A 26068-nucleotide genomic window follows, 5' to 3' on the forward strand; every position below is an offset into this window, starting at 1 on the left:
CATTGGATGTAAACTAGTAGCCATTTCTCACTTTATTTTGCATTTCTTTGATTATTAATAAGATGAAACATCTCTTTTTCTGTTTATTAGCCATTCTGGTCTCCTCGTCTATGAGTTGCTTGCTCATATCCTTTCCATGTTTTTACATAGTGTTATCTCCCTACTTTTTTTGTTGTTTCTGATTTTGCTGTTCATTTCAGATATTAATGCCAGTCATGTATATTGAAAATATATTCTCTCAGTCGAATTGGCATGAACTCCGTCTATGGTATTTCTTTGTTGTATAGCTACTAGCCAGTTCCAACAACTGCCCTCCCTTTACTTCCTAGTTAAAACAAATACAAACTCTGATTTGTAACTGGATCCAAGGCTTCCGGGTATAAAGACTACATTTCCCAGCATACCTTGCAGGTGTTGCCATGTGACTGAGTTCTGGCCAATAGGATATAAGAGAAAATATGTGGGAAATTTGTCGGCAATATTCTTGAAAAGAAAGAGTTCCTTTCTTTCTTCTTTCCAGTTACCTCCTTCTTGCCGGTTGGAATATTGGATTGAAAGGTCAGAGCCATGTGCTGAGGTTGGGGAAACATCCCGGATGCCAGCCCCGGACTGCTAGTAAGTCTAAATCTAACTGATACAAGCAAAAGTCTTTCATTTTGAAGTAGTCAAATCCAGATATTTTCTTCTTTAAGAAATTCTTGGGCCGGGCGCGGTGGCTCATGCCTGTAATCCCAGCACTTTGGGGGGCCGAGGCTGGCGGATCACAAGGTCGGGAGATTGAGGTCATCCTGGCTAACACGGTGAAACCCCGTCTCCACTAAAAATACAAAAAATTAGCCGGGCGTGGTGGCGGGCGCCTGTAGTCCCAGCTACTCGGGAGGCTGAGGCAGGAGAATGGCTGAACCCGGAAGGCGGAGCTTGCAGTGAGCCGACATAGCGCCGTTGCACTCCAGCCTGGGCGATAGAGCAAGACTCCGCCTCAAAAAAAAAAAGAAAGAAATTCTTACTGATCGCAAAGTCACAAAGGCATTTGCCTACATTTTTTTTTTCTAATAGTTTTATAACTTTGCTTTTTCACATTAGGTCCTTAATCCAGCTGGAAGTATGTTGACTTTCTTCCTCACCTTACCATCCAATTCTCCCATCAGCATTATTAAGTAATTCATTTTTCTTCCCTGAACTGTGATGCCACTATTATATACCGGGTTCCCAGTACCACATTAAACAGTAGTGGTATTGGAAAGTATACTGGGCTGGTTTCCATATTCATGGGAAATCTACATTTTTTTTCCATTAAGTGTGATGTCTGCTGGCCAGACGCGATGGCTCATGCCTGTAATCCCAGCACTTTGGGAGGCCGAGGCGGGTGGATCACCTAAGGTTGGGAGTTCGAGACCAGTCTGACCAACATGGTGAAGCCCCATCCCTACTAAAAATACAAAAAAATTAGCTGGGCATGGTGGCGCACACCTGTAATTCCAGCTACCCGGGAGGCTGAGGCAGGAGAATCGCTTGAACCCCGGGAGGCGGAGGGTTGCGGTGAGCTGAGATTGCGCCATTGCACTCCAGCCTGGGCAACAAGAGTGAAACTCCGTCTCAAAAAAATAAAAAAAGTATGATGTCTGCTGTAAGTTTTTGATAAAGTTCTTTTATCTAAGTATCTTTTATTTAAGAAGCTACTATAATCACTAATAAGTGTTTTCTTGTATCTATTAAAACATTGTAATTTCTTCTTTAATCTGAAATACCTCAATAGATTTATCTGACTCTAAATCATCTGTACATTCCTAAAATAAATGCTACTTTGGTTTTTTGAGTTGGGAATTTTGCATCTGTAGTTATAAGTAAAACTGGCCTATAATAATCTTGTCTCATACTGTCCTTATCTGGTTATAATATCAACATTTAGGCCAGGTGCAGTCGCTCACACCTGTAATACCAGCACTTTGGGAGGCTGAGAGGGCAGATCACTTGAGTTCAGGAGTTGGAGACCAGCCTAGGTAACATAGCAAGACCCTGTCTTTACAACAAATTTTTAAAAATTAGCTGGCTGTGGTGGCACACACCTGTAGTTTCAGCTACACTAGAGGCTGAGGTGGGAGGATTGCTTGAGCCTGGGAGGCCAAGGCTGCAGCAATCACGGCTCACTGCAGCCTCAACCTCCCTGGCTTAGTCGATCCTCCCACTTTGGCCTCCCATGTGGCTGGAACTACAGGTGCATGCCACCACACCCGACTAATTTTTTTTTTTTTTGTAGAGATAGGGTCTCACTATGTTGCCGAGGCTGGTCTTGAACTCTTAGGCTGAAGCAATTCTCCCATCCCAGCCTCCGTGGTTGGCTTACCTGGGCTGTGAGGAACCATGCCCAGCCAGTTTTTCTTTTTATATATTGTCCTTACCCCATGGGTTAATTAGAGATATAGTTTTTAGTTTTCAGACATATGAGCTTTTTTGTTATTAGTTCCCACTTCTACTGCATTTGATTTAGATAACTAGCCAATATGTTGCCAATTCTTAGTAATTTATTAATTCTTTTGTAGCTTAGCACATAATTCATTTCTACATGTTATATATGATTTTGAGAATAATTTGTATTCTGGGTTTGTGGATGAAGTTATATATATATTCACTTAAGCTCATTAATTGTTCAAATGTTCTGTATCCTTGCTTTTGTTCTCTCTTCTTTATCAGTTTCTGAGAGGGTTATGTTTATATCTCCAACTGCCATTGTAAATTCACCTGCTTTGCCTTGTAAAGACAGTAAAGTCTTTCAGTAGATTGTAAAGTCTATCAGCAGATTAGTGTATGTATTTCTAATTTATTAGGAGCATTTATATATAGTATGCATATACAATATTGTATATATTGAATATATACAATATTGTATATATTGAATATATTGAATATACAGTATATATTTATATTGTATATATATATTATATAGTGTATATACATATATATTTTGTGTGTGTGTGTGTGTGTGTGTATATATATATATATATATATATATGTATATATAGTAATTGTTATACGTCCTCAGTGTAAAGATCTTTTACTGGCCGGGTGCAGTGGCCCACGCCTGTAATCCCAGCACTTTGGGAGACCAAGGGGGGTGGGTCACCTAAGGTCAGGAGTTCGAAACCAGCCTCACCAATATGGTGAAACCCCTCTACTAAAAATACAAAAACTAGCTGGGCATGGTGGCAGGCACCTGCAATCCCAGCTACTCGGGAGGCTGAGGCAGGAGAATCTCTTGAACCCTGGAGACAGAGGTTGCAGTGAGCTGAGATTGTGCCACTACACTCCAGCCTGGGCGACAAGAGTGAAATGCCATCTCAAAAAAAAAAAATTTTTGCTGATAAATGTGGCCCTTTTTCTTTGTATGGATGCTTTGCTGTCTTAGGTTTTTTAAAATTTGTATTTGATGGTATTTTTTTATCTTCTTGTTTTTAATTTTTGGGTAAGTAATATGTTTACATTATTCAAACTCAAAATAATATGAAATGGTATACAATGAAAAGTTTTGCTCCCGCCTGGTTTCCATTTGCCCTGTGCCAGTTTTCAATTTCTTACTTTTCAGCTAAAAAAAAAAATATATTGAAACAACAGACATTTATTCTTGCATAGTTCTGGAGTAAATTCACTCTTCTTTATGCTGCTTTGTGACTCTGGGGGTAGACTCTGAACATTACTCCCATTTTGCAGATGGCAAAATGCTAGACTTTATGTGGAGGGTACTGAGGGAAACTGAAAGAGGAAGGGCTTCTCTTCCTGGTTCTGGGTGCTTTTCTTCTGGCTTGTATAATGCAGCTACCAATGGATGGCTTCTCTGCAAAAGGTGTATAGGAAATATAGTGATAGATACACTCCAGCATCCTGTGGGCTATAGCCACACACTCCCCAATGAGGTCTGCATCTCAACCTTGGGGTGGGTTGGGGAAAGGACTCTCCTAACCTTGTCCCTTCCTTGGGTACACTCAGCCTTAGAGGCAGCAGCTACTCCCAACATCTGCTCCGTCTGTATTCTTTGGAGCTGCTCTATCTAATGTGGCGACCACTTGCCAAATGTGTCACTTCTATTTAAATACAAGTTAACATGAAGTAAAATTAAAAATTCAGTTTCTTAGTTGCACTAGCTACATTTCAAGTGTTTCATAGCCATACAGGTACATTGGATAGTAAAGTTATAGAACATATCCTTCATTGCAGAAAGTCCTGTTGGAAAGTGTTGCTTTCGAGGTCTCTATTCAGATTCCCTGTTCAGATTTCCATGGTTTTTGTCTCCTGACTGATACATACTCCATTTTTCTTATATATTGTTCCAATGTTTTTAAACAAATACAAATGTATATTCTTATATCTGCCGCCCATCACCACCATTAGCACACAAATAGCAACTGTAATGTAAGTGCAGCAGTTTGACAAATTACTTCCAGTAGGACAAATCCAGAGCCAATTCTGGTCACATTCATTTGTTGAATGTATCGTCTAAGTGCTTTCATGCTACAATGGAAAAGCAAGTCACGTAGTTGCAACAGAGATTATATAGCAGACAAATTTGAAAATATGTACTATGTAGCCCTTTACAGAAAAGGTTTGTTGATCCCTGTTCTATATCTTTGTAAAGTTAACCATGCAGTCAGCCTTCTGTATCCTTGGGTTCCACATCTATGGATTCAACCAACACCAGATCGAAAATGTTTGGGGAAAAAATACAAAAGAACAACACAATCATAGAAAATAAGACAGCTAGGCCGGGTGTGGTGGCTCACACCTGTAATCCCAGCACTTTGGGAAGCCGAGGCAGGTGGATCACGAGGTCAGGAGATCGAGACCATTCTGGCTAACACAGTGAAACCCCGTCTCTACTAAAAATACAAAAAATTAGCTAGGTGTGGTGGCGGGCGCCTGTAGTCCCAGCTACTCGGGAGGCTGAGGCAGGAGAATGGCGTGAACCCAGGAGGCAGAGCTTGCAGTGAGCCAATATCGCACCACTGCACTCCAGCCTGGGCGACAGAGCAAGACGCCCTCTCAAAAAAAAAAAAAAAAAAAAAAAAAGACAGCTAAAAATATGGTACAACAACCATTTACCTAGCATTTACATTTTATTAAGTAGTATAATCTAGAGATGACTTAAAGTATACAGGAGGATGTGTGTAGGTTATATGCAAATATTAAGCCATTATAGATATCAGGGACTTGAGCATCCATGGATTTTGATATACGGGGGTGGAGGGTTAGTTCTAGGACTACCCCTGTAGTCCTAGAACTAACCCTCCACCGATATGGACTGATTTTATGTATTGAAGTTATTTCCCTATAAAGATGCTTAGAGCTTCTTCACTTCTTTAAAACTACATAATACAGCCTGGGTGACAGAGTGAGACTCTGTCTCAAAAATTAATTCATTAATTATTTAATTAAACTGCATAATATGCCATTATATGGATGTATCACAATGTATTTAAGCTAGTTTTTTTTTTGTTTGTTTGAATTTTACTTTTCTCCTATTTCAGGAATCCTTTCAGTGAATAACTTTGTATATACATTCTTTAGTACACATGCAGGTATGTATAAAATCCCAGAAGTGCAATTATTGGGTCACTGGGAAAATGCATTTTAAAATGTTGGTATTATTAATCTGCATAGGGATCGTAGAGTGGAGTTCCATTTCAACCAGCAATGGATGGGAATGCCCGTTTACCATCACATTGTCAGACTTCCAGAATTTTTCCTAATGAGTAGGTGAAGAAAAGATATTTCAGGGTAGTTTTCATTTGCATAATAATACTATGAATTAATCGAGCATCTTTTTGAGTATTTATAAGTCATTTTCGTGCCTTTCATATGTATTAACTGCTTCTTTGTGTCTCTGCTCATTTTTCTAAGATTTTGAAGATTTTTGGTCTTGTTCTTGTGAATTTCTAGAAGCTCTTCATATATTAGGAAAATGAATCCTTTGTCTGTAATATGAGTTTCAAATGTATTTTCCCAGGTTGTTATTTGCGTTTAGACTTTATTTATGGATTTTATAAAATGTGATTGAATTTATCAATCTTTTCTTTTATGGTTTTGGGAATTTGACTCAATTAGGTCTTTGCCACCTCAGGGTTATAAAGAAATTGCCCATTTTTTCCTGGTACTTTAATGTCTACAATTTTTTAGCTTTAAGTCTTTGATCTTTTTATGGTTTATCCTAGCATAAGATGTGAGGTATAGATAAAACTTCTTTTTCAAATTATTACCCAGTTATCCCCAACTTTTAATTATAAAGTTTATCTTTACTTCACATCTTTAGCATAAACTAAATTTCTGTATGTATCTTGGTGTATTTCTGGACTTTCTTTTTGTTCTATTGGTTTGTCTGTTGATGTGCTAATTATTCACTATTTTAACTGTTGAAGCTTTAAAATATAGTTTAATATCTGGCAGGGCTGGCTCTCCACATTCTTTGTTGCTTGTTTTTCCATTTGAACTTGATAGTCAGCTTCTCCAGTTTCAGAAAAAAACGTGTTGGTATGTTTGCTGGGAGTTAACATTTTTACGTTGTTTACCTTTCTTGGTCAAGAAATGGTATGTGTTTCCGTTTGCTCGAGTTTTTCGTTTTATCCTTCATTAATTTTTTTTTTTTTTTTAGACAGCATCTCACTCTGTACAGTGGTGTGATCTCGGCTCACTGCAACCTCTACCTCCCAGGCTCAACTGATCCTCCCACTTTGGCCTCCTGAATAGCTGGGACTACAGGCACCCACCACCATGCCCAGCTAATTTTTGTATTTTTTATAGAGATTGGGTCTCACTATGTTGCCCAGGCTGGTTTTGAACTCCTGAGCTCAAGTGATCCTCCTGCCTTGGCCTCCCAAAGTGCTGGGATTACAGGCATGCGCCATTGTGCCCAGCTTATCCTTCACTAATATTTTGAAGCATATACATTGGTATTTTATCTTGCCTTGCTATTGTAAATGCAGTCTTTTATTCCATTTTTCTCTTCTAACTGGTTTCTGTATATTTGTTTAATATTCCATCTCCACCTTATCTTAGCACATTTTACTTCTTTTTCCTTCCCCCACATCTCTCTCTCTCTCTCTCTTAATATATTTGATTCTTTAGGGCTTTCTAGTTATATAATCCTGTTATCTCTCATTTTTCTTGGATTGTACAGAATAATACCTTCAATTTAATGTTAAAGAACAGTGGTGAGAGTGGGCATCCATGTATTGCTCCTAATTTTAGGAGAAATGCACCAGGGTTTCCCAATGAAGCAGATATACTGTGACAATAATTTTCTTCCTAAAAGAAAAAAAGTGATAAATTAGATTTCATCACAGTTAAAAACTTCTGCTTTTGAATGATACCTTATGAAGATGAAAATATTCATAATACAGACTGAAATATTCATAATACATACATATGACAAAGGACTTGAATCCAAAATATATTTTGGATATCACCTGAGGTCAGGAGTTAGAGACCACCCTGGCCAACATAGTGAAACCCCATCTTTACTAAAAAAAAAAAAAATACAAAATTAGCCGGGCATGGTGGTGGGTGCCTGTAATCCCAGCTACTTGGGAGGCTGAGGCAGGAGAATCATAACTGACAACACCAACTGTTGATGAGGATGTAGAGTAACTAGAACTCTTGCATATTGATGATGGAAGTATAAATGATACAACCACTTTGGAAAACTGTTTGGTAATTTCTTATAAAGGTGCATAAACACCTCTGCCTCCCAGGTTCATATGACCTAGTCTTCACATTCCTAAGTGTTTAAACAAGAGAAATGAAAACATATGTTCACACAAAGACTTGCACATAAATAAATACTCATGCCGGACGCGGTGGCTCATGCCTGTAATCCCAGCACTTTGGGAGGGCGAGGCAGGTGGATCACGAGGTCAGGAGGTCGAGACCATCCTGGCTAACATGGTGAAACCCTGTCTCTACTAAAAATACAAAAAAATTAGCCGGGTGTGGTGGCACATGCCTGTAATCCCAGCTACTCAGGAGGCTGAGGCAGGAGAATCGCTTGAACCCGGGAGGCGGAGGTTGCGGTGAGCCGAGATGGTGCCATTGCACTCCAGCATGGGCAACAAGAGTGAAACTCCATCTCAAAAAAATAAAAAATAAAAAAATAAAAATAAATACTCATAAACTTTATTCATAATACCTGAAGCTGGAAACACACAAATTCATACATTCACACAGGTGAATGAATACACAAATTGTGGTATATCCATATCAGTGGGCCCAGTAATTAAAAGAAACAAAACTGATAAATGTAACAATATGAATACACCTCAACTACGTTATGCTGAGTGAGAGAAGCCAGGCACAAAACACTACATATTATATAATTTCGCTGATATGAAATTCTAGGATATGTTAGAATTCCATATATATTACATATATAATATGTAGTGTTGTATAACATGTAACATGTTAACATATTCTAAAATTTCATATCTAGAAATTCTGAATATGAAATTCTAGCAAGTCATCTATAGGGACAGAAAACAAATCAGTGGTTGTTGGGAGATGAGGATTGGAGAGATGGGAAGATGGGCAAGTCTAGAGGGGGAGGGAGAGTGTTGAACTGGGAAAGAGTACAAGGGAACTTTTGCACGTGATGAAAATGTTCTAGGATGTCTAGTTTCCAAGCTGGCATGTAAGAAACTTGGAAGTTGCCACTCCATCCTAACAATAAGTAAAAGCCAAACAAACTAAACATCAACAACCCTTAGATTTGTAGAGAAGTGACGTCATAGGGCAAATTACTGCCCCAGAATTGGAGAAACAGACAGGTGGATACAGAAATCATAATTTACCAGAGCATAATAAACCTCCATGGAAACTAGTGCTGGGTAAGGAAACCTGAATTGTGATTGATGAATTGCTAGAGGCTCATTGTGGACAAGTTTGAGACATAAAAACTCCAGGGAACCCAGTCATGTTGGAGGAGTGCACATACTTTTTTTTTTCGATTTTTTTATTGTGGCAAAATAATACCATAAAACTTATCATCTTTTTTTTTTTTTTGAGATGGAGTCTCACTCTGTTGCCCAGGCTGGAGTGCAGTGGCACAATCTCAGCTCACTGCAACCTCTGCCTCCCAGGTTCCAGCAATTCTCCAGTCTCAGCCTCCCAAGTAGCTGAACTACAGGCACGCACCACTACACCCGGCTAATTTTTGTATTTTTAGTAGAAACGGGGTTTTACCCGATTTGTCAGGCTGGTCTCGAACTCCTGACCTCAGGTGATTTGCCCCTCTCAGCCTCCCAAAGCGCTGGGATTACAGGCGTGAGCCACTGTTCCTGGCCAAAATTTACCATCTTAACTACTTTTAAGTGTACAGTTAGTGTTACGAAATACAATCATAATGTTGTGCAACCATCACCACCATCCATCTCCATAACTCTTTTCGTCTTGTGAAACCAAAACTCTGGTCGGGTGTGGTGGCTCACGCCTGTAATCCAGCACTTTGGGAAGCCGAGGCAGGCTGATCACCTGGTCTCAAGGTCGGGAGTTCGAGACCAGCCTGACAAACATGGAGAAACCCTGTCTCTACTAAAAATACAAAATTAGTCGGGTGTGGTGGTACATGCCGGTAATCCCAGCTACTTGGGAGACTGAGGCAGGAGAATCGCTTGAACCCAGGAGGCGGAGGTTGCAGTGAGCCGAGATCGCACCACTGTACTCCAGCCTGGGCAACAAGAGTGAAACTCCATCTCGAAAAAAACAAAACCCAAAAAACTCTATACCCATTAAACAATAACTCCCCATGTCCCTCTCCCTCCAGCCACTGGTAACCACCATTCCACCTTCTGTCTCTGTAAGTTTGACTATTCTAGGTATTTTATATTAGTAGGATCATATTTGTTTCTTTGTGATTGGCTTATTTCACTTAACATAATGTCTTCAAGTTTCATCCCCATTGTAGCATATTGCAGAATTTATTTCCTTTTTAATATTGAATACAGTCCATTGTGTCTATATATGACATTTTGCTATCTATTCATCAGTCAATGGACACTTAGAGTTGCTTTGATGCTTTATGTATTGTGAATAATGCTGTTATGAACATGGGTGTACAAATATCTCTTTGAGACCCTGCTTTCAATTTTGGAGTATACACCCAGAAGTGGAATTGCTGGATCATATGGTAATCCTATTTTTAACTTTTTGAGGACCCACCATCCTGTTTTCCACAGCAAGTGTACTGTTTTACACTACCAACAGTGCACAAGGATTCCCGTTTTTCCACAACCTTGCCAACACTTACTAGTTTCTGGTTTTTTGTTTTATAGCAGCTGTCCTAATGAGTGTTGACACGGTATCTCATTGAAGTTTTGATTTGCATTTTCCTAATGATTATTAATGTTGAGCATCTTTTCATGTGCTTATTGGCCATTTGTGTATCTTCTTTAGAGAAATATTCTTTTGCCCATTTTTTATTTCATTTTATTTATTTATTTATTTATTTTTTGAGACAGAGTCTTGCTCTGTTGCCCAAGCTGGAGTGCAGTGGCATGATCTCGGCTCACTGCAACCTCCGCCTCCCAGGTTCAAGTGCTTCTTCTGCCTCAGCCTCCCGATTAGCTGGGACCACAGGTGCCCACCACCACGTCCAGCTAATTTTTGTATTTTTAGTAGAGACAGGGTTTCACCATATTGGCCAGGCTGGTCTCGAACTCCTGACCTTGTTATCCACCCGCCTTGGCCCCCCAAAGTGTTGGGATTACAGGCGTGAGCCACCATGCCTGGCCTGCGTCTTTTGCCTATTTTTAAATTGGGACTTATTTTTGTTGTTGAGTTTTAAGAGTTCTCTGTATGTTACAGATATTAAGCCTTTATCTGATATATGATTTATAAATGTTTTCTTTCATTCCATGGGTTTCCCTATTACTATGTTTATTTTTTTCATGCACAAAATTTTTAATATTTTGTGAAGTCCAATTTGTCCATTTTTTCTTTTATTGTCTGTGCCTTTGCCATCATATTCAAGAAACCATTACCAAATCAATGTTGCAAAGCTTTTGCTTCATGTTTTCTTCTAAGAGTTTTATAGTTTAGGTCTTACATTTATGTGTTCAATTCATTTTGAATTAATTTTTGTATACGGTGTTAAATAAGGGTCCAACTTTATTCTTTCATATGTAGTTTTCCCAGCACCATTTGCTGAAAAGAAACTATTCTTTCCTCATTGAATGGCCTTGGTGTCTTTGTCAAAAATTATTTGACCATATATGGGGAACATTTATTTCTAAGCTCTTTATTCTACTCCATTAGTGTTTGTGTCTTTCTTTATGCCAGTACCACACTGTTTTGATTACTGTAGCTCTGTAGTAAGTTTTGAAATGAGGAAGCATGAGTCCTCCAGCATTGTTCTTTTTTAAGATTGTTTTGGCTATTTGGAGACCATTAATATTCCATATAAATGTTAGAATGTGTTCTTTTTCTATTCTTGCAAAAAATGTCATTGGTGTTTTGTATTGAATCCATAGATAGCTTTTGGTAATATTAACATCTTAGCAATACTAAGCCTTCCAATCCATTAACATGGGACGTGTTTCCATTTATTTATGTCTTCTTTAATTTCTTTCAGTAATGTTTTATAGTATCCATTGTAAAGTCTTTCACCTCCTTGGTTAATTCCAAATTATTTTATTCTCTTTGACACTATTGTAAATGGAACTGTTTTTGTAATTTCCTTTTCAGATGTTCATTGTTAATATATAGAAATACAACTGATTTTTGTGTGTTGACTTTGTATCCTGCCACTTTGTTAAATTCATTTATTAGCTCTAACAGGTTTTTTTGGTGGAATCTTTACGGTTTTCTATATGTAAGATTATATCATCTGCAAATAGAGGTAATTTTACTTCTTCCTTTCCAATTTGAATGCCTTTTATTTTTTTCTTCTTGCCTAATTGCTCTGACTAAAACTTCTAATACTAAGCTGGATGAGGTGGCATGCCTGTAGTCCCAGCTATGTGGGAGGCTGAGGCAAGTGAATTGCTTGAGCCCAGAAGTTTGAGTCCAGCCTGGGAAAAATAGCAAGAGCCCGGTCTCCAAAACACAAACAAAACAAGTAAAACTTCTAATACTATTTTGAACAAAAGTGGTAAAAGTGGAGATCCTTGTCTTGTTCCTGATCCTAAGGAAGAGCTTTCAGTCTTTCACCACTGAGTATGAGGTTTGCTGTGCATTTTTTATATATGGCTTTTATTGTGTTGAGGTAGTTCCTTTCATTCCTAGCTTGTTGAGTGTTTTTTTTTTAATCATGAAAGGGTGTTATGTTTTGTCAAATGCTTTTTTAGATGATCAACTGAGATAATCATGTGGTTTTCTTTCCTTCATTCTGTTAATGTGGTATATTACATTGAGCTTTGTATGTTGAACCATCCTTGCATTCCAGGAGTAAATCTCACTTGGTCATTGTGTATAATCCTTTTACTATGCTGCTGAATTTGGTTTGCTAGTATTTTGAGAAATATTTTTATATTAATGTTCATAATGGATATTAGTCTATAGTTTTCTTTTTCTTGTAGTGCCCTTGTCTGGCTTTGGTATCAGGGTAATGCTGGCTTCATAGAATGAGTTGGGAAGTGTTTCCTCCTCCTCAATTTTTTGGAAAATTCTGAAAATAATTGGTATTAGTTGTTCTTTTCATGTTTGGTAAATTCACCTGTAAAGCCATTTGGTCCAGGGCTTTTCTTTGTCAGGATATTTTTGATTACTGATTCAATCGCCTTACTGATTATAGGTGTGTTCAGATTTTCTATTTCTTTGTGATTTCATCTTGGTAGGTTTTGTGTTTCTGGGAATTTATACATTTCATCTAGGTTATCCAATTTGTTGGTATACAATTGTTTGTAGTACTCTCTTATACTCCATTTTATTTCTCTAGAATTAGTAGTAATGTCCTTGAGTCTCCTCTTTTATTCTTAGTCTGTCTAGCTAAAGATTTGTCAATTTTGTTCTTTTCAAAGAACCAAGTTTCAGTTTATTTTTTCCTATTGTTTTTCTGTTCTCTCTTGTTTCTCTCTGCTTCAGTCTTTATTATTTGCTTTCTTTTTTTTTTTTTTTTTTTTTTGAGACAGAGTCTCATTCTGTCACCCAGGTTGGAGTGCAGTGCAGTGGCATGATCTCAGCTCACTGCAACCTCCACCTCCTGTGTTCAAGTGATTCTCCTACCTCAGCCTCCCAAGTAGCTGAGATTACAGGCCTAAACCACTGCACCCGGCTAATTTTTGTATTTTTGGTAGAGACAGGGTTTCACCATGTTGGCCAGGCTGGTCTCAAACTCCTGACCTCAGATGATCTGCCCACCTCACCCTCCCAAAATGCTGGCATTACAGACATGAGCCACTGTGCCTGGCCATTATTATTTGCTTTCTTTGCTAGCTTTGAGTTTAGTTTGTTCTTCTTTTTCTAGTTCCTAAAGTTGTGAAGGTAAGTTGTTGATTTTAGATCTTTCTTGTTTTTTAATGTAAGCATTTATACACATAAATTTACCTCTTAACAACTGCTTTTTCTACATTACACAAGTTTGGGTATATTGTGTTTTCATTTTCATTCTTCTCTAAGTATTTTTTAATTTCTCTTCTAATGTTTTCTTTGATTCATTGGTTGTTTAAGAATGCGTTGTTTAATCTCCACAAATTTGTGCATTTTCCACTTTTACTTCTATTAGTGACTTCTAACTTCATTCCATTATGGTAGGAGAAGATACTTTATATGATCTTTATCTTTTTAAGTCTATTGAGACTTACTTTTTGGCCTAACATATAATCTATCCTGGAAAATGTCTCATGTGCACATGAGAAGAATGTGTGTGCAGTGGTGTGTAGACTGTTCTGTATATTTCTGTTAGATCTGTAAGGTTAGCCGAGAGAAAGGACAAGAGAGAGAGAGACCCAAGGTCAGGCAAGAAAGTTTATTAACCTGCTGGGCTGCTCTGCCACAGTCAGAGGAGGCAGCCCTGAGCTTACAAAATGATGGGTTTATATGGGGGAGAGAGACCCTGGGGTTGTTTGTCGCCACAGTCAGAGGAGGCAGCCCTGAGCTTACAAAATGATGGGTTTATATGGGGGAGAGAGACCCTGGGGTTGTTTGTCGGTTAACTTTACCACATATCATCTTGAGAACTGCTTACAATATAGGAATTTATAAGAGGGTGTAACTTAGGTTTATCCATGTTTCTTGTGACCTCCCCCATGCCACCCGGAGGGCTGTAAGCAAGTCTGGTGACCTTGCTGTAGCACCTAGATAAAGGTCCAGGAATGCAGCTGCAGAGTATTCAGGGTAAGGGTCAGCTGCATTGGGTGGAGGTGGGGAGTCCTGGGGCAGCTTGTCCCTAACAAGATCTAGTTGGTTTATTGTGTTCTTATCTCCTATATGGTTGTTCTATCCATTGTTGAGAGTGGGGTAGCAAAGTCTCCAACTGTATTGAAGAACTATATCATTCTCCCTTCAATTCCGTCCATTTTTGCTTTACATATTTTGATGGTGTGTAAGTGGGTGCATAAATATTTATAATTACTACATCTTCCAGTTGTATTTAATCTGAAGGCTCCCACACTTTTGTGAGTTTTACCTCCTGGAGCTCTGGCCAGGTTCTCAGAGTGAATATCTGAGAAAAATCTCCTGATGCTTCCAACAGGGGAAGAAGAAAAAATAATCATTTCAAAATACTCCAGAACGTTACGTTCTCTCTCGAACAAAGTCTCAACGAAAATTATTTAAACAGAATCTAACCTGCTGGGGTTTTTTGATTAAAAAAGCCAAATACTATAAAATATATAAAGAGGTTTTTCTGAGCCAAATATGAGTGACCATGGCCCGGGGTAGTCTCAAAAGGTCCTCAGAACATGTGCCCAAGGTGATCAGATTACAGTTTGGTTTATTCATTTTAGGGAGACAGAAGCCACAGGCAAAGACATAAATCAATATATGTAAGATATACATTATTTCAGCCCAGAAAGGCAGAACATCTCAAAGCAGGGGCAAGGGCCTTACAGGTGATAGGTGGATTCAAAGAGTTTCTGGTTAGCAATTGGTTGAAAGAGTTAAGCTTTATCTAAAGAGTTGAAGTCAGCAGAAAGAAATGCTTGAGTTAAGATAAGAGTAGTTGTTCTTGTTATGCACATGAACCCCCTAAGTAGCAGGCTTCAGAGAGAATAGATGGTAAATGTCTCTTTTCGGATCTTAAAAGGTGTCAGACTCTTACTTAAATCTCTCCTGGATCCGGAAAAGACCTAGAAAGGGAAGGAGATTCTCTATAGAATGCAAATTTCCCCCGCAAGAGACGGCTTTGCAAGGCCATTTCAAAATATGTCAAAGAAATATATTTTGGGGTAAAATACTTTGATTTCCTTCAGGGCCTGCTATCTGTCAGGTGATGTCAGGTTGGAATTTGGTATCTTATTGCTACAGTCTGTTTTGTCAGTCTTATGATCTCTATTTTAATGTTAATGCTGATCAGTAGTGTATAAACTCCAAAGGTAGGGTGTATAACTAGGCATGTCCAACCTCCCTTCCCATCATGGCTTGAACTAGTTTTTCAGGTTTCTTTGGGATTCCCTTGGTGAAGAATGGGGGTCCCTTTGTTCCAGTAGGTAGTCAGACATAAGCGGGGCAGGAGAGGGACTCCTCCGCCAGGAATGTTAGGTGACCATCAGGTAATGGTCAGGTGGTTGTTACACTGTCTCTCTAAAATAACAATTGGTCGCTGGGTGCGGTGGCTCATGCCTGTAATCCCAGCACTTTGGGAGGCCACGGCAAGTGGATCACTTGAGGTCAGGAGTTCGAGACCAGCCTGGCAAACATGCGAAAACTCATCTCTACTAAAAATATATATATATAAAAATTAGCTGGGCGTGGTGGTGGGCACCTGTAGTCCTAGCTACTTGGGAGGCTGAGTCAGGAGAATCACTTGATCCCAGGAGTCAGAGGTTGCAGTGAACTGAGATCATGCCACTCCAGCCTGGGCGACAGAGAGAGACTCCGTCTCAAAATAAAATAAAATAATAATTGGTCAGTGTTACCAAGGAAAGGCAGTCTCCCAATAGATAGAAAAAGCCTGAAACTGGTGATCAGCAGCTTCCCAATAAGATCTCAGGAGTTGGGCGAGTGGGTTCAAGCATGTGCACTAAGAGGCAAAATGGTGGAGTTTAACTGGTGTTAATAGATGACCTTCTAGGAACACTTGACTGGTAAGGGAAGAATGCCTCAAGTGAGCATGCGTACGACTTCAGTAAACTCACTGTGCATGCTCCCCTCCCAAGTGCTGGCAGGCCACTGCTCATGCAGACAGCCCACCCCAATGGAAGAATGAAAGGAGAAGAAACACAACTCCCCAGGAGCATGCTGGTCTATAAAATCCCAAGTCAAAGGTCAAACCACGTATTTGAATCTCTCAAGTCACCCGCTTGGTCCTCTTCCAAGTATACTTTACTTCCTTTCCTTCCTGCTCTAAAACTTTTTAGTAAACTTCCACTCCAGCTCTAAAACTTGCCTTGGTCTCTCACTCTGCCTTATGCCCTTTGGTCAAATTCTTTCTTCTGAGGAGGCAAGAACTGAGGTTGCTGCAGACCCATACAGATTCACAGCTGCTAACATACTTTGGTGCCATGTGATTTAGGTACGTTCCTTAGTGCTAACATACTTTGGTGCTGTGTGACTTGAATACATTTCCTATGGCTAAAATACTTGCCCAACATTCCTGGTTGGGGAGATCATCTCCTGCCCTGCTCATGTCTGACAAACTACCTACTGTAACACGTTCAGCCAATTTTGGGGGGTTAGAATTTTATTTTTGATTTACAGGTTTTACCAAAGACTAGACTATCTGGGAACAGGGACAAACCCAACTCTAACCCCTTCTGGCTTTCCATGTGGAAGAGGGGAAATATCCAATTCCAGCCCACTGAGGCCATCCTGCCCCATCTAAATCAGGGGAAAAACTGAGAAGCACTTGTAAAGTTCACAGTCCAGGTGCAGAGGCTCACCAAAAGGCTGAGCCCTAATCAGGACTGGAGAACACTTCCCATATCCTCCCACCTTACCACCACATCACTAAAGGCCTATTTACAGATCTTATTTACCCAGTACATTATGTTTGGCTGTCAAGAAAAAAATACAAGGCATACCAAAAGGCAATAAACAAAAAACCGGCCAGGCACGATGGTTCATGCCTGTAATCCCAGCACTTTGAGAGGCCAAGGTGGGCGGATCATGAGGTCAGGAGTTCAAGACCAGCCTGGCCAACATGGTGAAACCCCATCTCTACTAAAAATACAAAATTAGCTGGGCATGGTGGTGCACACCTGTAGTCTCAGCTACTTGGGAGGCTGAGGCAGCAGAATTGCTCGAACCTGGGAGGTGGAGGTTGCAGTGAGCTGAGATCACACCACTGCACTCCAGCCTGGGCAATAGCGCAAGACTCCGTCTCAAAAAAAAAAAAAAAACAAAAAACTGAAACAACTACAACACAACAACATATGATTTAAAGAGACAAAGCAAGCATCAGAACCAGCCCCACTGGGTAGGGATGTTGGAATTATCAGACCAGGGATTTTAAGCAACTGTGAATTAACATGCTAAGAACTCTAATAGATAAAGGAGACAGCGTGCAAGAACAGATGAACAATGTAAATAAAGAGATGGAAATTCTAAGAAAGAACCAACAAGAAATGCTAGAGATAAAAACACTGTGACAGAAATGGAGAATGCCTTTGATACGCTTATTATAATGCACTGAACATGGCTGAGGAAAGAATCTCTGAGCTTAAGGATATGTCAGTAGAAGCCTCCAAAACTGAAAAAAAAAAAAATGAGAAAAAAAGACAGAAAAACAAAACAGAATGTCCTAGAACTGTGAGACAACTGCAAAAGGTGCAACATATGTAATGGGAATGTCAGAAGAAGAAAGAAAGAGAATACATATTTGAAACAAGAATAACGGATAATTTCCCAAATTAATGTCAGACATCGAACCACAGATCACAGAAGCTCAGAGAATACCAAGTATGATAAATGCAAAAGAACAAAAACTCTACCTAACCATATCATTTTCAAAGTTTAGAAAAACCAAAGATGAAGAAATCTTGTAAGAAGCCACAGAAAAATAAAACCTTACCTACAGAGGAGCAAAGACAAGAATTACATCTAACTTCTCCATGAAAGTTCTCCAGAAACCTTGCAAGCAGAAGAAAATGAAGAGAAACATTGAAAGTGTTGAGGGAAAACTCCACCGAACTAGAATTCTGTACGCTGTGGAATTAAACTTCAAAAGTAAAAGAAAAATAAAGACTTTCTCAGACGAACAAAAATTGAGGGAATTTGTTGCCAGGAGACCTAACTTGCAAGAAAGGTGAAAAGAAGTTCTTTAGAGAGGAGGAAAATTATATAGGTTAGAGGCTGGTCGCGGTGGCTCACGCCTGTAACCCCAGTACGTTGGGAGGCTGAGGCAAGCAGACCCCTTGAGTTCAGGAGTTTGAGACCAGCCTGGGCAACATGGCAAAATCCCATCTCTACAAAAAATACAAAAATTAGCTGGGTATGGTGGCATGCACCTGTAGTCCCAGCTACTCAGGGAGATGAGGCAGCAGGATGACTTGTGCCCAGGAGGTCGAGGCTGCAGTGAGCCATGATAGTGTCACTGCACTCCAGTCTGGGCGACAGAGCAAGACCTTATCTCAAAAAAAAAAAAAAAAGTTCTAAATCTTGATATGGTTGGTAATGGTTACACAGGTGCATATATTTGCCAAAATTCCATTTTTAATGAGTACATTTTTATATGTAAATTATACCTTGGTAAAGTTGATTCTAAAGGAAATGAAAGATCATGCTGGCTTGCTGTCTGCAGAACATTGTAAAGGATATGAAAAGTGGTTGCAGGGGGAGGGTAGTAGAGTAGTTAAGAGGTAAAGGTGATTTGGACTTTGGCTGTGGACCTGGACAGAGTGTATCAGAGGTGAAATCAAGACTTGGTGAGTGGTTGACGGTTAGAGAGAGAGATGTCTGTGACAATTCCCAGGTGTCTGACCTGAGCAAGTGGGCAGAGAATGGCAGGTGGGCTATCATCTTGGAGCTAGAAACCCTGAGGGGAGAAACAGGCTTGGCTGGGAAATCATCACTCCAGTTTTGGATCAGGTAAATATGACGGGCCTGTGAGCCATCTCAGTGGAAACTATTCCATCCTTCTAAATGTGAGTGCCTTTTGCCTTAGGGGCAACCAAGGCGAGGGATTCATAGGGTCAGGCCCGCAGAAGTGCTACTGTTGTCTGGGCAGCCCTGCTGGAGCAAGGCAGTCTCCCTCCTCCTCGGCATTTGTCATCTGGGATGGATAAGCAGGCAGGCAGTTGACCCTTCTGAGTCATTTGGCAAATTCCAACAGCAGCCTCATCTGAGACTGTCTGGTATCCACTGGGCAAGAGCTGAAGACTGAGCTTCATTTGGACTGGAAAAAAGGTAGTGAAATTCTAACACTTAGAAAGCCAGGAAAGTGAATGCCAAGGCCCAGACACCTACTCGAACAAATAAAAAGCATATGTCGAGCCTCCAGCAAACTTCACTTCCACAAATAACACCACTGCCTTGGGGAACAGCAGAGACATTTGACCGGACAGCAGCTGTGCAGAGGGTGCTATTTAAAGACTCAGCTTTTGCAGCCCAAGGACTCTGGGCATAGAATTTGATTGGAATGTGGAGAGAAGACAGCAAAACTGAGGAAAGAACCAGCTTTGGGGAAAAACATCACCAGGTGGTTGGCTGTTGATGTGAACCCTGAATATGTCAAATGAGTTCATTTTAATAAAATTATGTCAATCGATCTATCTCTCTTGGAATAAATTAAATGTGTTAATTCATGGAAAGTGCTTAAAACAATGTCCAGCACATAGTGCTTATTGCATGGAAGCTGTCATTATTATCATTATTATCTCCCCATCAACCCATGTAAATATGCCCAGAGTTGGGAGAAATTCTCATCTATAATGATACGTTGCTGCTAAGTGCTAGGATTTACAGCGATTCTGTTTTACTCTTTCTTTTGTGTTTTTCTGTAATCCTTGAATTCTTTATAATAAACACATTTATTTTGTAAAACCCAAAAGTTATTACTACAGGTTGAAAAAAAGTGCAGACTGCAGTCAGACCTCCTAGGTTTAAACCCTAACTCTACTATTTAGTAGCTGTGTTTTTTGAGCAAATTATTTACGCCCTCTAAGTCTGTTTCCTCCTGTATAAAATGGGGGTAAAAATGTTACCTACTTCATTAGGTGGTTACAAGAATTAAATGAGATAATTTAATTAAAGGGCTTGGCATGGTACCTGGAAGAAAGAGTGAGATAAATGATTGCTATTATTAGCAGGAGAAGTCGTGGTGGTTGTGTTATTTCTTTTTTTCTTTTTAAATTTTTTTTTTTTGAGACAGTCTTGCCCCGTCATCCAGACTGCAGTGCAGTGGCGTGATTTCGGCTCACTGCAACCTCTGCCTCCCAGGTTCAAGCAATTCTCTTGCCTCAGCCTCCTGAGTAGCTGGGATTACAAGCCAGCACCACCATGCCCAACTAATTTTTTTTGTATTTTTAGTAGAGATGGGGTTTCACCATGTTGGCCAGGCTGGTCTTGAACTCCTGACCTCATGATCCGCCTGCCTCGGCCTCCCAAAGTGCTGGGATTACAGGTGTGAGCCACCGCAGCCGGCCGGTTGTTATTTCTTACTACGGCCAGGAACATGTTTTGTTGACCTCAGTGTTCTTGGCATATAGTAGTCACTCTGGAAACAGCTGGCAGTTTAGCAGAGGCACCTCGGGCATCTTACACTGGGTGGTGGCATGGGAACACTCTTTTCTAAAGTAGAAAAAAAGTTGAAAAGTTCTCAACCCTCCCCCTCAAAGTCAAGGTTTGGGTCCTTCTGGTGATCGGGAAGCACAGGTTATTTCTCCGCAGCTGTCGAAGCTCTGTGGGGAGATGAGGCCCTTACAAGGTCTAGAAGGTCTAGCCATTGTCTTCTTATTCTTCCATATCATGACCAGCCAGAAGCCAGAGCCATTGCTCTCCATGACAGTATGTCGTTGTTCATGAACTGTAGGCAAGTCAGCCCCATGAGAACTTCTGTTAATGCAAAACCTTAAGTAAATGGTGATGGGGAAACTGCAGCCACTGATCCACTGACTGTGGATACATGTGTGGGGTGTGTTGGGAGATGTCTAAAACAATCCCCCCAGGGAAAGATTCCTTTCCATATTTCCTAAATATTTTATAATAAGCATGTATTCATTTAAAAAAAGTTATAGAAAGCCTCTTCTTTGTCACTGCTGTCCCAATAACTGAGTACACTTGGTGGCCACTTTTCTTTTGCTCTCTTCGTTTAGTCCCTATAGGATTTGAAGTCTTGTTAAGTGGAACAGGAGGGACAGATGGTGCCTGAAAACTTATTCCTATTGAGACTCCTGAGCTTCAAGCCATCTGCATTCACATACAGCACATTGGCAATGATACTGTTTTTTAAAATCCATTAATTCGATAAATATTTCTCTTTTTTTTTTTTTTGAGACGGAGTCTCGCTCTCGTTGCCCAGGCTGGAGTGCAGTGGCGTGATCTCAGCTCACTCCAACCTCCGCCTCCCAGGTTCAAGCGATTCTCCTGCCTCAGCATCCTGAGTAACTGGGATTACAGGCACCTGCCACCATGCCCAGGTAATTTTTCTATTTTTAGTAGAGACGGGGGTTTCACCATGTTGGCCAGGCTGGTCTCGAACTCCTGACCTCAGGTGATCCGCCTGCCTCGGCCTCCCAAAATGCTCCCAAAATGCCCAGTGGCTCACACCTGTAATCCCATTAACTCGATAAATATTTCTAGAGCACCTACTATGTGCCAAGCACCCTTCTAGGTGTTTGTTTGCTAAATCTAGCAACCCTATGTTCCCACTAAAAGAGAATGTGAGGCTGGTGGAAATGAGGGCTTAGGAGACACAACAGCTGTAGGCGTGGTTCCAGTTACTACAAAAGTGACTAAATAACAGCTACAGTAAATCCGACCCTGAATGTAACGGTGACATGAGTATAATAGTGAAAGTGACTAACTGGGCACAAGGGTATGAGGACAACAGTGTACCCTGAAGGGGCCTGTTAAATACTGGCTTGACTGTGTGGCAGCAAAAGTGGCTGCATGACAATGACAGTGAAAACAACAGAAAGGGCAACAGCTGGGCAAACAAAGTGCTATTTTGAACAGAACCGTTTGAAGTTTATGGTCAATGACGGTAGCTGCATGTCAGACAGTGACAGTAAATATGATCGACCGGGAGACAGCAACAATGCAAGTGACAGTTCTGCCCAGTAGATTGAATTTGTGATGTAAAACGGTGATGGGGTGAGTCAGTCAGCCAGAGACAGCTCTCAGAACGACTGAATATTGACATTGCAGATGGAAAAGGTATAACCACAGAGGAAGCTGGACATTGCACTAAGATGGCTGGATTTGGGCACGTAACTGTCAGGGACAGAAAAAGTGGCTGCATGTCAGTGACAGGGTGACTGTGTTCAGTGGGCCAGCGCGGAGGTGACTCAGTTTGTTACTGCTGGATCTGATTTAAATGTTTGTGTAAGGAAGGGTGGCAAGGGGACGCTTCAACAGGGAACGCATAGTGTGTGAGAAGGAAAATGAGCAAAAGAAAAGCTAGGACTAAATCCCAAAGCCCCTAAATCCCAAAATTGGGAGGTGCGAGAGGCAGGATCAGGATGCCTCCAGGATGCCTTCAGCCCACTGCGCCCCACCAGCGCCAAGCCTGTCCCACAAAGAGTGCGGGCTGGGGACGCGGCTCAGGTCGCCTCTCCGCCTCGCACGTGAATGTGTTGTTTTGGAAAAACGAAGCCTTTTGTGTTCACTTCCTTGCCCTCCTTTGAAACAAAATCCTAATCCTAGAGCTGCCGGAGCGAGACTGCGGAGCTCCATTAGAACTTTCCTTAGGGCCGGGCATGGTGGGAGGCCGAGGCAGGTGGATCATCTGGGCTCAGGAGTTCGGGACCAGCCTGGCCAACATGGTGACATCCTGTCTCTACTAAAAATAGAAGAGAAAAAAAAAATTAGCAGGGCGTGGTGGCGCGCGCCTGTAATCCCAGCTACTCGGGAGGCTGAGGCAGGAGAATCGCTTGAACCTGGAAGGCGGAGGCTGCAGTGGGGCGAGATCGCGCCGCTACACTCCAGCCTGGGAAACAAGAGCGAATCTCCCATCTCAAAAAAAAAAAAAAGAAAAAAACTTTACTTAGGAAGTGTGGGGAGGGAAGGAGGGAGTGGCCAAGGTCAGAGGTCAGAGAAGAGCCTAGCAACCAGCCGGCCCCCGCCGTCCTAGCATAGGTGGAGAGCGAGCGCGTGACGCAGGCCCCGCCCCCAGCACGTGACCGCGGCGCGTGGGGCAGGTCGGGCCGCCCCCTCCCCTCTGATACCCATTGCGCGCCGGCCTCAAGATGGCCGCCTTCTGGCGTCTCCGGCGCTGTTGAATGGCGAAAGCTTTATTGTTCCCTTCGGGCAGGAGTGTTCGTGTCCTCTATGGCGCTGTCAATAAAGAACGGCAGTTTGAATCGGTGCTGAACAGGTAACCATAGAAACGGGGCTGGGACTCCGCGTGGAGACCCTTCCTGCAGCGGGGGCCCGGGTGCGCCCTAAATGAGGGGTGTATACAGACCCTTCCGCGTGGCGAACTCCGCGGGACTCGGCCGAATCACGGCCGCCTCACCTACACCCCGGACGTGCCCCCTCCAGGGGCGGTCCGCACCCCTGGCGCCGGCTCTGCTGTAGACTGCGGAGGGGAGAGACCGCGGGGACCCACTCAGGGCGCCAGGCCCGACCTGACACCGCCTGGGGCTCGCTGTCGCCCCGCACCTCCCTCTCGGCCCGTCCGGAGGCCTCTTGTCGCTGTCTCACTCCCCCTCCCTTCAGGTCCCTTCGCCGGGCGTCAGCGGACTATGGCCTTGGGCCTAATCCATGCCCCCCTTCTCTCTTCCCCTCTCGGTCTTTGTTTACAGTTGCAAATGGTTAGGGGGAAGAATATTTCATGTAATTTGCGAAAGTTCTATGAAATCAAGTCCATAAATGAAGTTTTATTGGAACACGGCCCTGTTCATTGTTGATGTATTGTCTATGGCTGCTTTCCTGCCAAGAGGGCAGAGCTGAGTAGTTGCGCAGCCGTTGCTTGGCTTTGATCGGCTGGCTCACAAAGCCAGAAATATTTCTGTCTGGTCCCTTACAGCAAAAGTTTACTGACCCCTGCCCTAAACACAAGGAGATTGGATCAGTGTTGTCATTCAGCTATTCCTCTCGTCGGTTCTTCTGGAGTGGGAAAAGAGTTAAAACTGCGCGATGCACCGAGAGCACTTTAGTTGACAGAACACTCTGGCTTCCCTTCTGGTCTTACTGACTATTCAGAGTTTCTCCTGCTTTGAATAGCGTTGGTACCATGCAGCCAGTGCTGCAATGAACCAGGTGCTTTATTTATATTCATACAAGTGTTGTTCTACTTTATGACGACGCTTTATAAGTAAGTATGGTATTTCCATTTTACAAACGAGGAAGAAATTTGTTCTGAGTGGTTAATATATGTATAGGTGTACTAGGTTATAGGGCTGCCAAATTGAGCCTGTCCCTGGGAGCCCCCTGCCTGATGGCACCGGTCAAACTGCTTTGGATTTTATTCTTTCAAGTCTTTTCTACCTGGAATTGTTTGTTCTTCCCTGGAATTGTACCCAGATCTTTGTATGGTTAATGGAGATTTAATTACAATCTCAGTGAAATTTTTTTCTACTTAGCTAAATCATCAAACTTCTGCCCCTCCTTTCTAATATAAACACTTTTCTTCTATGTCAGTAGTCCCCAAACTTAGCTATTCATTAGTGGTTTAACAAATGGTTTCAGAACACCCCATGCATGTACGCATGCATTCATTAATCATTTAGTGTTTGTTGAGCACTTACTGTGTACCAGAGACGTTTCAAATTCCTGGAAATACAGTGGTGAACAAGACAAATATGATTTCTGCCCTTCCATGGAATTTAAATTCTATGTGGGGCTTGGACAAGTGGTATACAGGTAGACAAAGATAATTTCAAATACAGCTGTAATAGCATCATCATAATAAAATTATTAGTTGCTATTTACTGAGTGATTATTTTGTGCCAGGTACTGTGCTAAGTGCTTTATTTATATGGACTATCACTTAATCCTCACACCAATACTATGACATAAGTAGTATTAATATTACCATTTTACGCATAGAGGAAACAAACTCACGTCGGAGAGATGTTCGAGGTTACATAGCTAAGGCATTCAGCTGAGAGCTGAAGCTAATCTGATCACACTGAACACCCTGTATTGTTCCATCTGTTTATTGTCTTTCCTACTAGCTTAGGAGGTCCTTAAGGGCAGGGACCACACCTTACTGTTGTTATCCTCAGCTGCTAGCCAGTACCCACAACCTGGTGTTTGCAGGTAAATACCAAGTAAACAAATCTAGGTCATTCATTGAACAAATTTTTATTTTATTTTATTTTATTTATTTTTTTGAGACAGAGTCTCGCTGTGTTGCCCAGGCTGGAGTGCAGTGGCACAATCTCGGCTCACTGCAACCTCCGCCTCCCGGGTTCAAGTGATTCTTCTGCCTCAACCTCCTGAATGGCTGGGACTACAGGCATGTGCCACGACACCCGGCTAATTTTTTGTGTGTTTTTAGTAGAGACAGAGTTTCACCATGTTGTTCAGGCTGGTCTTGAAGTCTTGACCTCAAGTGATCTGCCCGCCTCAGCCTCCCAAAGTGCTGGGATTATAGGCGTGAGCCATCGCGCCCGGCCTCGAACAAATATTTTAGTGTCTCCATGTACCAAGCACCACTGTCTAGGTCCTGTGATTACCAGGGTGAGCAAGATGGACCTGGGGCTCTGTTCTGGAAGCTAAAGCCTAGTGTCAAGACAGTAAAGAAATAACAAAGTTATTCCAAATTGTGGCAACTGCTCTAAAGGAAATAAAACAGCACGGAGAGAGACACTAACCTGGGAGACTCACTTTT

The 26068-nt window shown here is 41.5% G+C and overlaps 1 protein-coding gene across 5 annotated transcripts in view, besides 8 other annotated features; it reads left to right on the plus strand.

The window, feature by feature from the left end:
- The first annotated feature begins 509 nt into the window (after window positions 1–509).
- ZBTB40 (zinc finger and BTB domain containing 40) overlaps window positions 510–26068 on the plus strand; it is a 102246-nt gene continuing 76687 nt past the window's right edge. For 3 of the 5 annotated variants that reach the window (XR_946804.2, NM_014870.4, NM_001330398.2), the window contains exon 1: window positions 23452–23605. The gene's annotated coding sequence lies outside the window, so the exon portion shown is untranslated. Of the gene's footprint in view, window positions 616–23451; window positions 23606–24259; window positions 24548–26068 lie in introns of those variants that run through there. The other 2 variants (NM_001083621.2, XM_011542499.3) reach the window with 2 other exon arrangements.
- Window positions 14485–15102: an enhancer, noted in NCBI's record as "OCT4-NANOG-H3K27ac hESC enhancer chr1:22769377-22769994 (GRCh37/hg19 assembly coordinates)". NCBI's record gives its function as "activates a minimal SCP1, AML or CMV promoter by ChIP-STARR-seq in naive and primed H9 embryonic stem cells {active_cell/tissue: H9 hESC(naive and primed)}" and the evidence as "EXISTENCE:reporter gene assay evidence [ECO:0000049][PMID:30033119]".
- Window positions 15103–15722: an enhancer, noted in NCBI's record as "OCT4-NANOG-H3K27ac hESC enhancer chr1:22769995-22770614 (GRCh37/hg19 assembly coordinates)". NCBI's record gives its function as "activates a minimal SCP1, AML or CMV promoter by ChIP-STARR-seq in naive and primed H9 embryonic stem cells {active_cell/tissue: H9 hESC(naive and primed)}" and the evidence as "EXISTENCE:reporter gene assay evidence [ECO:0000049][PMID:30033119]".
- Window positions 22697–22991: a silencer, noted in NCBI's record as "tiled region #2075; HepG2 Repressive DNase matched - State 2:TssF, and K562 Repressive non-DNase unmatched - State 2:TssF". NCBI's record gives its function as "represses a minimal TATA promoter and a strong SV40 promoter by Sharpr-MPRA in HepG2 and K562 cells {active_cell/tissue: HepG2 | K562}" and the evidence as "EXISTENCE:reporter gene assay evidence [ECO:0000049][PMID:27701403]".
- Window positions 23306–23505: a silencer, noted in NCBI's record as "silent region_401". NCBI's record gives its function as "represses an Ori minimal core promoter by ATAC-STARR-seq in GM12878 lymphoblastoid cells {active_cell/tissue: GM12878}" and the evidence as "EXISTENCE:reporter gene assay evidence [ECO:0000049][PMID:35858748]".
- Window positions 23306–23942: a biological region, named in NCBI's record as "H3K27ac-H3K4me1 hESC enhancer GRCh37_chr1:22778273-22778834".
- Window positions 23381–23942: an enhancer, noted in NCBI's record as "H3K27ac-H3K4me1 hESC enhancer chr1:22778273-22778834 (GRCh37/hg19 assembly coordinates)". NCBI's record gives its function as "activates a minimal SCP1, AML or CMV promoter by ChIP-STARR-seq in primed H9 embryonic stem cells {active_cell/tissue: H9 hESC(primed)}" and the evidence as "EXISTENCE:reporter gene assay evidence [ECO:0000049][PMID:30033119]".
- Window positions 23656–23735: an enhancer, noted in NCBI's record as "active region_352". NCBI's record gives its function as "activates an Ori minimal core promoter by ATAC-STARR-seq in GM12878 lymphoblastoid cells {active_cell/tissue: GM12878}" and the evidence as "EXISTENCE:reporter gene assay evidence [ECO:0000049][PMID:35858748]".
- Window positions 23846–23935: a silencer, noted in NCBI's record as "silent region_402". NCBI's record gives its function as "represses an Ori minimal core promoter by ATAC-STARR-seq in GM12878 lymphoblastoid cells {active_cell/tissue: GM12878}" and the evidence as "EXISTENCE:reporter gene assay evidence [ECO:0000049][PMID:35858748]".

This window comes from Homo sapiens, chromosome 1 (genome assembly GCF_000001405.40).
Source record: "Homo sapiens chromosome 1, GRCh38.p14 Primary Assembly".
Lineage (NCBI taxonomy): Eukaryota > Metazoa > Chordata > Mammalia > Primates > Hominidae > Homo > Homo sapiens.